General features: G+C 40.1%; 1 protein-coding gene across 5 annotated transcripts in view; it reads right to left on the bottom strand.

Moving 5' to 3' along the window:
• Positions 1 to 12,785, bottom strand: part of TCAIM (T cell activation inhibitor, mitochondrial) — a 71,320-nt gene that overhangs the window by 15,881 nt on the left and 42,654 nt on the right. For all 5 annotated transcript variants that reach the window (NM_001282913.2, NM_001282915.2, NM_173826.4 and 2 more), the window contains one exon: positions 591 to 713. In NM_001282913.2, the coding sequence (NP_001269842.1) occupies positions 591 to 713 (123 nt within the window). The remainder of the gene's footprint in view (positions 1 to 590; positions 714 to 12,785) is intronic.

Below are 12,785 nucleotides of genomic sequence, written 5' to 3'. Positions count from 1 at the left end.
ACAAACTTATTATGTAAAAAAGTTTATTACGCCAAAAATGTCAGTACTTAAACAAACCTTACTTCTTTATCTATATATAGAAGAAAGAAGTAACATATATATAAATTGAGATGAAGTCTTGCTCTATCACCCAGGCTGCAGTGCAGTGATGCAATTATAGCTCACTGCAGCCTCAAGCTCCTGGGCTTAAGTGATCCTCTTGCCTCACCCTTCCAAGTAGCTGAGACTACAGGTGCAGGCCATAGTGCCTAGCTATTTTTTTTTTAAGTTTTTGTAGAGATGGGGTCTCTATATGTTGCCCAGGCTAGTCTTGAACTCCTGGGCTCAAGCGATCCTCCCACCTTGGCCTCCCAAAGTGCTGGGATTACAGGCAAGAGCCACTGTGCACAGCCTTATTTCAGTATTTAAAATAAGAAATTAATAAGAGTTTTCTTACACAGATGAACATTTCATGATGTTCATAAAGATAATTGAAGAGTACTCAGTTATCAGAGCAATTAAAGATGCAAATATTTAGCTGCTGAAAAGCTTATCAGTTGGTAATTCATATTCATTTCAATTTCTAAATTAGGTTCTCTCTTCTTTCTTACCTGATATCTGAGAGTTGCAATTGATGAGACAGTTCATCTTTTAAACGATCTAGTTCTTTTCTAAGTGGCAAACTGTTCTTTAGCTTTTTAACAGCACTTTTCCCATTGTTATCTAACCAGGATCTAGAAAGAGAGAGATACATACTTTACAATACTAACTATAATATACATATTTTTACTATTAAAAGACACATGCATGCACTTGCATATTCACAATAGCAAAGACTTGGAATCAACCTAAATGCCAATCAATGACAGATTGGGTAAAGAAAATGTGGTACATATATACCATAGAATACTATGCAGCCATAAAAAAGAATGAGTTCATGTATTTCATGGGAACATGGATGAAGCTGGAGGCTATTATCCTTAGCAAGCTAACACAGGAACAGAAAACCACATACTGCATGTTCTCACTTATAAACGGGAGCTAAATGATGAGACCACATGGACACAAAGAGGGGAGCAACAGACACTGGGACCCACTTGAAGGCAGAGGATGGAGGAAGAGGATCAGTAAAAACAACTATTGGGTACTAGGCTTAGTACCTAGGTAACAGAATAAACTGTACAACAAACCCCTATGATGAGAGTTTATTTATATAACAAACCTACACATGTAACCCGAACCTAAAAGTTAAAAAAAAATTGTACTCAGAAAAAAAGGACACATACATTACCTTAAAGCAGCCCCACTGTTAAACTGAGTTTTCAATCAAACCTTTACTTCTACCTATTCTTTTTCAGAGATACCTACTTTTAAAATAAGTTGCTTGGAGAACTGCCAACACCTGTCAAATCATATTCTAGTTATGACAACTTCCTTTGCATATTAAAAAATTAAATTTTAATTATATCAAACCTGTCACTAGATTCCTAGAGATAGAATATTTTTTTAAATTAAAAATACTTCAAAGTGTGTTTATTACAACCTTCGGTAAGCTATACTGGATTTTCACTGATGTCAGTCATACACATATGGGAGGGTAGAACTAATACTAATTATGGAGCAAGTGAGCAAATATTATAATAGAGCTAAAAAGGTGTAAAAGTCAAACTCAACAGACATATCTGATGGGACTAGTGACAATTAAGAGGCAATGGGTCCTGATGAAGGAATAGGAAAAGATTACTTTGTGGATTCTGGCTGGGTGGACTCCAGTTTCTCCCTTTATTTTGGTCTTGGATATTACTACCCTGAGCTCCCAATGCTTATTCCCTCATCCCTGTAACCTAGTCCCTCCGACTGGTCAGACCTTACCAATCTAGTCATTTTGCCACACCCTCCTTCCAGGAGGGCCTCTTCACTACCCTGGTGCTCAGTGACACCTCCATTCCTTTCCACCCAACCAAATGTCCAGTTTCAGTTTCATCTCAACTATATCAACTCTATAATAAGCTCAGCAGAAAGATGTTCTCTAAACCTGTATTTCTTAGAATGTTTACCTCAATAGTCTTACAAGAAGAACTAAATATCAAAAATGCTTTGGCTGGGTGTGGTGGCTCAAGCCTGTGATCCCAGCACTTTGGGAGGCTGAGGTGGGTGGATCATGAGGTCAGGAGTTCGAGACCAGCCTGACCAATGTGGTGAAACCCCATCTCTACTAAAAAATACAAAAAAATTAGCCAGGCGTGTTCGCGCGCACCTGTAATCCCAGCTGCTTAGGAGACTGAGGCAGAAGAATCGCTTGAACCCGGGAGGCGGAGGTTGCAGTGAGCTGAGATCACGCCACTGCACTCCAGAGCTTGGGTGACAGAGCGAGACTCCATCTAAAAATTACAAAAAAAAAAAAGTCTTTAAGGATTAGAAGGGATAGCTTTCAGAAAAGAGCTGAAAGCCTGTGTGGCCTTCTAGAGAGCAGCACTGCCTCTGTAGAAACTCTCACTTGGTGCTATAATCATGACATAAGGGTGCTTGTTAGTGCTCAGGGTCACTGGCTACCCAAGGGAAGTCCAGAGAAATGAGTGACCTGGATGGAGTCCTGGGAGGCTGAAGAGCTGCTGCAGGAGTGGGTGGTGACGGGGAGGGGACAGAATGGTAAAGTGACTCTGGGCTGAGGGGATCATTTCAGATTCCAAAACAAAGTGGTTGGGGGTGGGCCCCAGGCATTACTATGCAAGAGAAAACTCCAGGAAAACCAGAGGTTCCCTTTCTTCTTATTATTTTTTTGTAGAGACTAGGTCTCACTTTGGTGCCAAGGCTGGCTCCAAACTTCTGGGCTCAAGTGATCCTCCTGCCTCGACCTGCCAAAATGCTAGGATTATAGGCATGAGCCACCATGCCTGGCCATTTTTTCTTAAAATTTGTTTTTTAATTGGCTATGCTAATCTTCTCTGTATTGTTCCAATTTTTTTGAGATGGGGTCTACCTATGTTGCCCAGGCTGGAATAGGTTGGTGTGATCATGGCTCACTGCAGCCTCGACCTCCTGGGCTCAAGTGATCCTCCAGACTTAGCCTCTCTAGTAGCTGGGACTACAAGCATGTACTACCATGCCCACCTAATTTTTTAAAGTTATTATTTGTAGAGATGAGGTCTTGCTATGTGGCCCAAACTGGTCTTGAACTCCTGGGCTCAAATGATCCTCCCGCGTTGGCATCCCAAAGTGCTGGCATTAAAGGCGTGAGCCACTGTACCTGGCCTCATTCCATTTTTAGTATATGTACTGCTGAAGCGAGTGCTAGGTTCCTTAATATTCACTTTAAATGTTTTAGATGTTGTGATCTAAAGCATTTAAAAATTATCAGGTTTAGAATATTGAAACTGACAAATCATTATGCATCTATTAAACACTTATATTGAATGCCTGACATTGTGTTGTGTTGGGATTACAAGGAAGATAAAGTCCCTGTTTTAAAGGAAGACACATTTAATAAGGAATATAGAGATAAGCAATTAGAATATAATATAAGAACTATTATGAGAAAAGAAGAAGTAATTCTTCCTGGAAGATTCTGTAGAACAGGTAGTATGTGATCTGGAACCTGAAAGATGTATCAGATCTTTCCAGGTAGGTGAGAGAGAATGGCATGTCAATCATATTAGTGCATAAAGACCTATGAGATGTACCAATATGCACAGATGACAGGATGCTTAGAGGGAGAGAAGGGCATAAGAGACTGGAGAGGGACTGGGGGTGAAGTGGGGTCAGACTATGAAGGGTCTTACACGCTGAGAAAGGGAACTGGAAGCTTATCCTCTAGGTGAAAGTGTTCGATGTTTTTTTTTTTTAATTCAATGACTTTGCATAGCAATTAATAATCCTTCCTATACCCTCTTTAAGAATATTCGTAAACATTTTGTCACTTCTGCATGGTGTGTGATTAAGCAGGTAAAAATATCTTAATTTACATCACTACTATTGGATATGGCATTACAATTTTCCAACTTTTCCACACTTATTAAGTAATACATGTTGTTCAACTTACTTTAAATTATGTAAGAGAAAGCATGATTTATTGACATATGAATTATCAAATGACACATCATGTCTGGTTTGGGGCCCAAATGTTTTGCAACATAGATTCAAATATGATCTTATAGATTTGTGAATTGATTTTTGGAATTCTTACATTTAATGTATAAAAATCAACTGGTCTAGCTTAACAATATTTGTGTTTTGTTTCTAAAAACTGAAGTAAAAACAAAGACTCTCAACATGGTTTCTGTTTTATTATTATTATTTTTTGAGACGGAGTCTCACTGTGTCACCCAGGCTGGAGTGCAGTGGCACGATCTCGGCTCGCTGCAACCTCCGCCTCCTGGGTTTGAGTGATTCTTCTGCCTCAGCCTCCTGAGTAGCTGGGACTACAGGTGGGCACCACCATGCCTGGCTAATTTTTGTATTATTAGCAGAGATGGGGCTTCACCATATTGGCCAGGCTGGTCTCGAACTCCTGACCTCGTGATCCACCCACCTCGGCCTCCCAAAGTGCCGGGATTACAGGCGTAAGCCACCGGCCGGGCTTTTAATATATACAGATATAAAGATACATGTTTCCTGGCTCTGGCCACTGAGAGGATTAGTAGTAACTGAGCGCATGTAGCACTGAGATGTTGGGTGTCTACAAACCAATCCCTACTAGAAAGAGCCAGAGCTTCCTGGCAAAACTGCTGAATCAAACTTTGGAGCAGGAACAGTCCAGATGAACCTGGAACAACTTGGTGAACCAGAAAGTAAGGGAGTACTCAAGGAAAGATGGGGACATAGGCACTTCACATAGTCCCCATATGAAGAGATGATGAAATGAGGAAATCAACACGTGGCAACCAGCAGAGTAAAACGTGATTCAAGCAAGAATCATCAATGAATATTAGAGCAAGTGAGGAAGTAAAAATCTAATGAGTAAAAGGATATTTATATAGCCCTAAATATCTCCTTAACAGAAGCTAATTAAAGGAAAAAAAATCATAACTTCCTGGAAGAAATTAGTATCATTAGTAATGGGTTACATAAACATAACATGCCTCCTATATAATACACTGAAAACAACACAACGTCACTTCTGGGGTAGGCCTGCAAAAAACTCTGACTCTAATTATGAGCAAACATCAGATAAACAAATGGAAAGACATTCTACAAAATAACTGGCTTGTATTCATCAAGGTAATGAAAGACAAGAAAACACTGAGGAACTGTTCCAGATTAAAGAAGACTAAAGAGATTTGACAACTAAATGTGGCTCACGATTTGGGATTTTCTTTTCCTAATAAAGGGTAGCGATCAGAAAATGAGTGACATTTGAATAATATCTCTGGGTTAGCTAATAGTATTGTCATAAGTGTTAACTTTTTAATTTTTAGTATTTTCTTATATAATGTTTTTATATTTTAAAAAAGTACAACCTAGGTATTTAGGGGTAAAGGGACATTGTGGCTGCAACTTACTCAAATGGTTCAGGGAAAAAATGTGTATAAATATACATATATAATTTCAATATTTAAATATATATATATAGAGAGAATGATAAAGCAAATGTGGTACAAAGTTAACATTTGAGGAATCTGGGTGGAGGTTACATGGGACTTCTTTATATTATTTCTGCAAATTTTCTTTCTTTTTTTATTTTAGTCTCTAACTTTTTTTATTCTAGAGACAGGGACTTTCTCTGTTGCCCAGGCTGGAGTGCAACAGCACAATCATAGTGTCACAGGATCCTTGGGGTGTTGCTTTTCCAGCTGGAAACCTCTGTGGTTGGTAGTGTCTTTGCCTGAGTTTGGCTCGGGCCCACTGGGCTCATTCTGCCCACTTGGCCTGGCAGGCTGCACTCAGCTCACACTACCGGCCCAGATCCCACATCTGCCAAGGGCCAGCCAGGCACAGAGTGGCAAGGGGTGTGTGAGTGAGCGCAGGGTCCAGCCACTGTGCACAGCCAGGCGTGCTGACTGCAGTGGAGAGCGGGCAAACCCATGCACCAGCACAGGCACTGGCTCCATGCAAGGCTGCAGCTGACCAGGTGTACCACTGTGGGAACTGAGGAACGTGGTGGTTCCTGGAAGCTTGGAAACACCAGGAACCGTGGGGTCCCAAAGAGGGTGTCACAGCCCTGGTTTGGGGAGCCCAGACCTAGGTGTGTTTCAGCCCTGTTTGTGTTACAGCTCTTTAAGTCCCACCATTAGGTGTTCACAAGTTCTTGTCCCATGTCCAGGAAGAATGAAGTATGTGGACAACTGGAGGGTGAGCAAGTCGGAGAGGAGCTTCACTGAGTGATAGAACAGCTCTCAGGAGACCTGGTGTAGCTCCTTTCTGCCAGCAGGTTGTCCCCACGAGTGTCCAGCTTTCAGCAGAGAGGAGACACACAGTGGATAGCTCCTTTTCACAGGCAGGCTGTGTCAACATTGAGGAGACCTGAAGTGGGTAACTCCTTCCCGCAGCTGGTAGTCCCAATGTCAGCATGAGTCTGGCTGAGTTTGGGGTTTTTATGTGCTCAGAAAGGAGGATTTTCCTGGTGGGCCTGGAAAAAGCACCATCCAATTGGCTGAACGGTCATCAGTGAAGTCTTCACTCTGGGCCATGGACTTCACCTGGAACCGGCAGCCCAGTCCCCACGCTTCAGGCTGTTCCTGGCTTGAAGGTGGGGTTTCATCAGGGACCTGGCCCTTTCTGCCCAGGAACCTATCTACCTCCTGCCATCAACATGCCGTCCATGGTACCCAGGCTGTTTGTGCTGAGGGGCTCCTGCAGGCCTGGGCCAAGCTGCCCTCAGCCACCCTCACCATGCCTCCCTCCTGTGCTCATCAGCGCCCAAAGTCCGGAGGGACAGAGATAGCAGGGGGCTGGTGTGTCAGCGCCACACTGGCCAGGTCGTGACAGTGCCCAGGCTCTGCCACAAATTTGCTCTGCACTTGAGCAGGCACTGGGAGTGGAGAGAGGCCAGGGAGTGGGAGCAGGTGCTTCTGAGCTGACAGGGGTGGGGGTTCCCAGGCCCCTGAGAGCCCAGAGATGTCCCAGTCCAGAGTGGGTGGCTGGGTAGCTGCAGCTGCACCAGGGAGCATGGGGCTCCCACCCTACCAATTCAGTAGGAGGTGGGGCTCCTGCCTGTTCCCAGCCCACACCAGCTCTGTAGAGCACGCAGCCCCGGACACGTCTCTCCTGCTGCAGCTGGTGTCTTAGCAGTGGCTGCTCCAGATGGGCTGCTGCTGCCATCAATAGCTCACTGTAACTTTGAACTCCTGGGCTCAAGCAATCCTCCCACTCGGCCTCAGGAGTAGAAAGAACTATATAGGTGTGGCTAATTTTAAAGTGTTTTTTTTTTTTTTTTTTTTTTTGGAGCTTCTGGCTCTATTGCCCAGGCTGAGGTGCAGTGGTGCAATCTCAGCTCACTGCAACCTTCGCCTCCTGGGCTCAAGTGATTCTTCTGTCTCAGCCTCTTGAGTAGCTGGGATTATAGGTGCGAGCCACTCTGCCTGGCCCTATTCCTGCAAATTTTCTGTGGGTCTGAAATTATGTCAAAATTAAAATTAAAAAACAGGTTAAAAAAAAAGAAAGTATAAGTTGCTGGCTACTGTTTGTAAGCATTTCTCTAGAGAAAAAAAATAATTGTAGAGAATGTCTTTATTCTTGAATATGTGAAAAACAAAACTGAAAATAAAGTCAACAAAAGCATTTTCTTTTGAGTTTTGGTGCTTATGTACAAGAGACACCATCGTGTGTTTCTGAATTTTGATCAAATCAATGCAACTAACAGGTCAGGTGAAGGTAATAAGAGACAAATTTTCAGATTTTTTTTGTTTTTGAGAAGGAGTCTCACTCTGTTGCCCAGGCTGGAGTGCAGTGGCGCAATCTCGGCTCACTGCAACCTCCGCCTCCTGGGTTCAAACAATTCTCCTGCCTCAGCCTCCCAAGTAGCTGGGACTACAGGCGTGTGCCACCACTCCCGGCTAATTTTTTTTGTATTTTTAGTAGAGACAGTGTTTCACCACGTTAGCCAGGACGGTCTCAATCTCCTGACCTTGTGATCTGCCCACCTCGGCCTCCCAAAGTGCTGGGATTACAGGCATGAGCCACCATGCCCGGCCTTTCAGAATTACTTTTTATGCTCATTAACTTTTTCAGGATCAGCAGTCCCTGTATTTTTCTTTAAAACAATTTAAATAAGTATATGGATCTATTTTTTAGGGTAAAACACTCTGTACAAAAGCATCTACAGTAAAGTGAGAGTCTCTCTTCTCAGCTCATACCCATCAGGACATTTTCTCAACCATGTCCTCCAATCTTCTGTAAACATGACAAGAGACTTCATATCCTTGTAATTTATTTTCTACTTACATTAGGGCTGGTTTCTTTTGTTGGCAATCAAAAACTCTTGACTAATAAAATTCCCTTTGATTTTCTTAGTGACAATCGTAAGTAATCCAAGTGTATCTCTGCCTTTCCAATATTTGCATATCCCATTTCTGTTTCTTATAATACATTGGCTGGGCTCTCCAGGACAAATACATTGCAGAGGTGATAGCAGGCATTCTGGCTGACTTGTTTCTCCACAGTTCTGAGCTCATCTGCTTTCTATCTTTCAAAAATTCCTAAAAATGTCCCTATTAGTATTTTCTCATTTATCACGCTCCATGAAATTTAATAAATGCCTGTATTTGCAGGCTACCAACTGGGATCTCCTCTAAACAATGCATGAGCTATTAAGGGGAATGACGTGACCAAAGCCTTTGGTAAAGTTGGGAATATAGAAGGAATGTAGAACCCAAGTTGCAGGGAAGAGAAACTGGTGGTAGAAAGATCCTTAGGAAGTTATTCCAATAGTCTAGAGAAAAATGAATGTGGCAATGAAGATTCCCATTAAACAACTTTGAATGATCTGTTCCCACATCAAGCAAAAACTATGAAAACTGGAAGTAAGCCAAGAGCTAGATTTACTTGAAAATCTTTCTGAGCTCCCTAATGTATGTCCTGTGATTGGCTGTATACTTGTTCAGTATTCTTTTTGGGACCAATCACAGCCTGTTTGTATAATAATTTATCTCTACGTGTCTTAAGTCCCCCATTATCCTATTACCCCCATGAGGGAAAGATGAGTCTTTTATTATCTAATGTGTACTTAATCTGAATGTCATCACAGTGAGATCACTAGACAGCATGAAATTTGACTATAAATTAAACCATAAGGCAAAGAGAAAAGAATACCTTCCTGATCAATGTGGAAACACACGGTTACCTTGTCTAACCAGACTCTAGGTCAGAAATAAAGTTCTAAATTACTCTCTAAATGAGAACACTTTATTGGATTTTAAAAGGATCATTACTGCCTGAATTTGCCACATAAATCATTTTAATTCTTGGCTTAATTTTATAATCACAGAGATTTAAAAATTCAGAGCCTTTGTTTTCAAGGGTGAGAAGTCCAATTAATTACTATTGAGATAAAAGAAATAGAGAAATCTCATATTTATTCTATAGTAAAATACCAAGTAAGCCAGACTATTTAACCTCTACTAAGCAAGAAGTTTTTTAAAAATGCTGATTTTATAAGAAATGAAATTACCTATAAACAAGTAAATACTAATTAGTAATCACTAACATATTTTTCCTAACCTTATTTTTTTCTTTTTTTAAAGACAGGGTCTTACTCTGTTGCCCAGGTCAGAGTGCAGTGGTGTGATTATGCCTGGCTAATTAGCTTGGCTAATTTAAATTTTTTTTTTTTTTTTTTTTTTTTTGTAGAGACAGGGTCTTGCCATGTTGCCCATGCTGATCTTGAACTCTTAAGCTCAAGTGATCCTCCTGCCTCAGCCTCCCAAAGTGCTGGGATTACAGGCATAAGCCACTGCACCCAGCCCCTTACCCATTTTTAAGTGTACAGTTCAGTGGTATTAAGTACATTAACATTGTTGTGCAACTATCACCACCATCAATTTTCAGAACTCTTTTCATCTTGCCCAACTCAAACTCTGTACACATTAAACACTAACGCCCCCTTCCCCTCCCTCCAGTCCCTGGCAACCGCTGTTCTATTTTCTGTCTCTATGAATTTGACTACTCCTTGTACTTCACATAAGTAGAATCATCCACCATCTGTCTTTTTGTGACTGGTTTATTTCATGTAGCATGATGTCCTCAAGGTTCATGTGTTGTAGCCTGTGTCAGAATTCCTTCCTTTTTAAGGCTAACATTCCACTGTAGGAGTATATCAAATTTTGCTTATCCATTCATCCACTGATGGACACTTGGGTTGCTTCCACCTTTTGGCTATTGTGAATAATGCTGCTATGAACATGGGTATACAAATATCTATTTGAGACACTGCTCTCAATTTTACGGTAAATCTATATTTAAGTTTTTGAGGAATCACCATATCATCTTCCATAGCAGCTGCACTATTTCACATTTCCACCAACAGTGCATAAGGGTTCCAGTTTCTTCAAACCCTCATCAACTCTTGTTATTTTGGTTTTTGGATAGTAGCCATTCTAGTGGGTGTGATTAGGTACCTCACACCCATTAGTTTTAATTTGCATTTCTCTAGTGATTAATGATGTTGAGTATCTTTTCATGTGCTTATTGGCCATTTATATACCTTCTTTGGAGAAATGTCTATTCAAGTCCTTTGCCCATTTTTGAAATGGGTTGTTTGCTGGTTGAGTTTTAGGAGTTCTTTATTTATTCTGGATATCAATTCCTTTATCATATATATGAGTTGCAAACATTTTCTCTCATTTTGTGGGTTGCCATTTTACTCTGTTGATAGTGTCTTTTAGTGCACAAACTTTAAAAATGTTCATGAAATCCAATTTGTCTATTTTTCTTTTGTTGCCTGTGTTTTAGGTGTTATATCCACGAAATCACTGGCAAATCCAATGTCATGAATCTTCTGCCCTATGTTTTCTTCTAAGAGTTTTATAGTTTAGGTCTTACATTTCAGTCAAAGATCCATTTTGAGTTAATTTTAGTATAAGTCAGTGTTCAACTTCATTCCTTTGCATGTGGCCAGTTTTCCCAGTACCATTTGTTGAAAAGATTATCTTTTCCCCATTCAGTGGTCTTGGCATTCTTGTTGAAAATCAGTTGACCATATATGCAAGTATTTACTGCTGTATTCTCTATTCTATTCCATTAGTCTATATGTTTGTGTATTTCTCTTTTTATAGAGATTGGGGTCTCACTACGGTGCCTGGGCTGGTTGGACTCAACTAATCCTTCTGCTTCAGCCTCCCAAAGTGCTGGGATTACAGAAGTGAGCCACTACACCTGGCCTATATGTCTGTTTTTATGCCAGTATCACAATGCTTTGTTTACTATAGCTTTGCAGTAAGTTTTGAAATGAGGAAATGTGAGTTCTCCAGCTTTGCTCTTCTTTTTCAGGATTGTTTTGGCTATTTGAGGTCCCCTGAAATTCTAATTTTAGGATGGGTTTTTCTATTTGTGCAAAAAATGTCATCAGGCTTTTGATAGGGATTGCATTAAATCTGTACTTGCTTTGGGTATTGACATCTTAGTAATATTATCTTCTGATCCTTGATCATAGAATGCCTTTCCATTTACTTATATCTTCTCTAATTTCTTTCAGAAATGTTTTTATAGTTTTCATTGTACTACAAGTCTTTCGTCTCTTCAGTCAATTCCTAAGCATTTTATCTTTTCTGATGCTATTGTAAATGGAATTGTTTTTGTAATTCCCTTTTTGGATTCATTGCTAGTATACAGAAATGCAATTAATTTTTGTGTATAGAGTTTGTATCCTGCTAACTTGCTGAATTTGCTAATTAGGTCTAACAGATTCTTCAGTGGAATCTGCAGAGTTTTCTATGTATAAGACCATTATCATCTGTGAACAGATAATTTTACCTCTTCCTTTCCAAGTAGATGACTTTAATTTCTTTTTCTTGCCTAATTGCTCTGGCTAAGACTTCCAGTAGTATGATGAATAGAAGTGGTGAAAGTAGGCATCCTTGCCTACTTCCTTATGTTACATGAAAAACTTCAGTCTTTTACTACTGAGAATGATGTTTGCTGTGGGTTTTCATATATAGCTTTTATTATGTTGATGTAGTTTCCTTTATTTCTAGAGTGTTTTTAGTATGAAAGTATGTTGAATTTTGTCAAATACTTTTTGCATTTGATCATTCTAGATCATGCATCATGATCATTCTAGATGATTTAAATGATCACGTGGGGTTTCTCCTTCATTCTGTTAGTGTGTATCGCACTGATTGATTTTGTATGTGGAACCATCCTTGTACTCTAGGAATATATCCTACTTGGTCATGGTATTGAATCCTTTTAATATGCTGCTAAATTAATTTTTCTAGGATTTTTTGAAGCTTTTTGTATTAATGTTCATAAAGCACACTGATTTGTGGTTTTCTTTTCTTGTAGTGTCTTTGTCTGCCTTTAGTATCAGGGTAATGCTCTCACAGAATGAGTTAGGGAGTGTTCCTTCTTCAGTTTCTTTTTGAAAAGTTTGAGAAGTATTGCTGTTAAATGTTTGGTAGAATTTGCCAGTGAAGCCATCCAGTTCAGGGCTTTTCTTTGTTGGGAAATTTAAAATTACTGACTCAGTCTCATTTTCTATTTCTTTGTGCTTTAGTCTTGGTAGATTTTGTGTTTCTAGAAATATGTCCATTTTATTTAGGTTATCCAACTTGTTGGTGTACAATTGCCCATGGTACTCTCTTATAATCTTTATTTCTGTGGAATTGGTAGTAATGTTCCTGCTTTCATTTCTGATTTTAGTAATTTGAGTCTCC

This window comes from Homo sapiens, chromosome 3, assembly GCF_000001405.40.
Source record: "Homo sapiens chromosome 3, GRCh38.p14 Primary Assembly".
Taxonomy (NCBI): domain Eukaryota; kingdom Metazoa; phylum Chordata; class Mammalia; order Primates; family Hominidae; genus Homo; species Homo sapiens.
The sequence above is the reverse complement of the archived record's forward strand: the minus strand, read 5'-3'. Positions and strand labels throughout refer to the sequence as shown.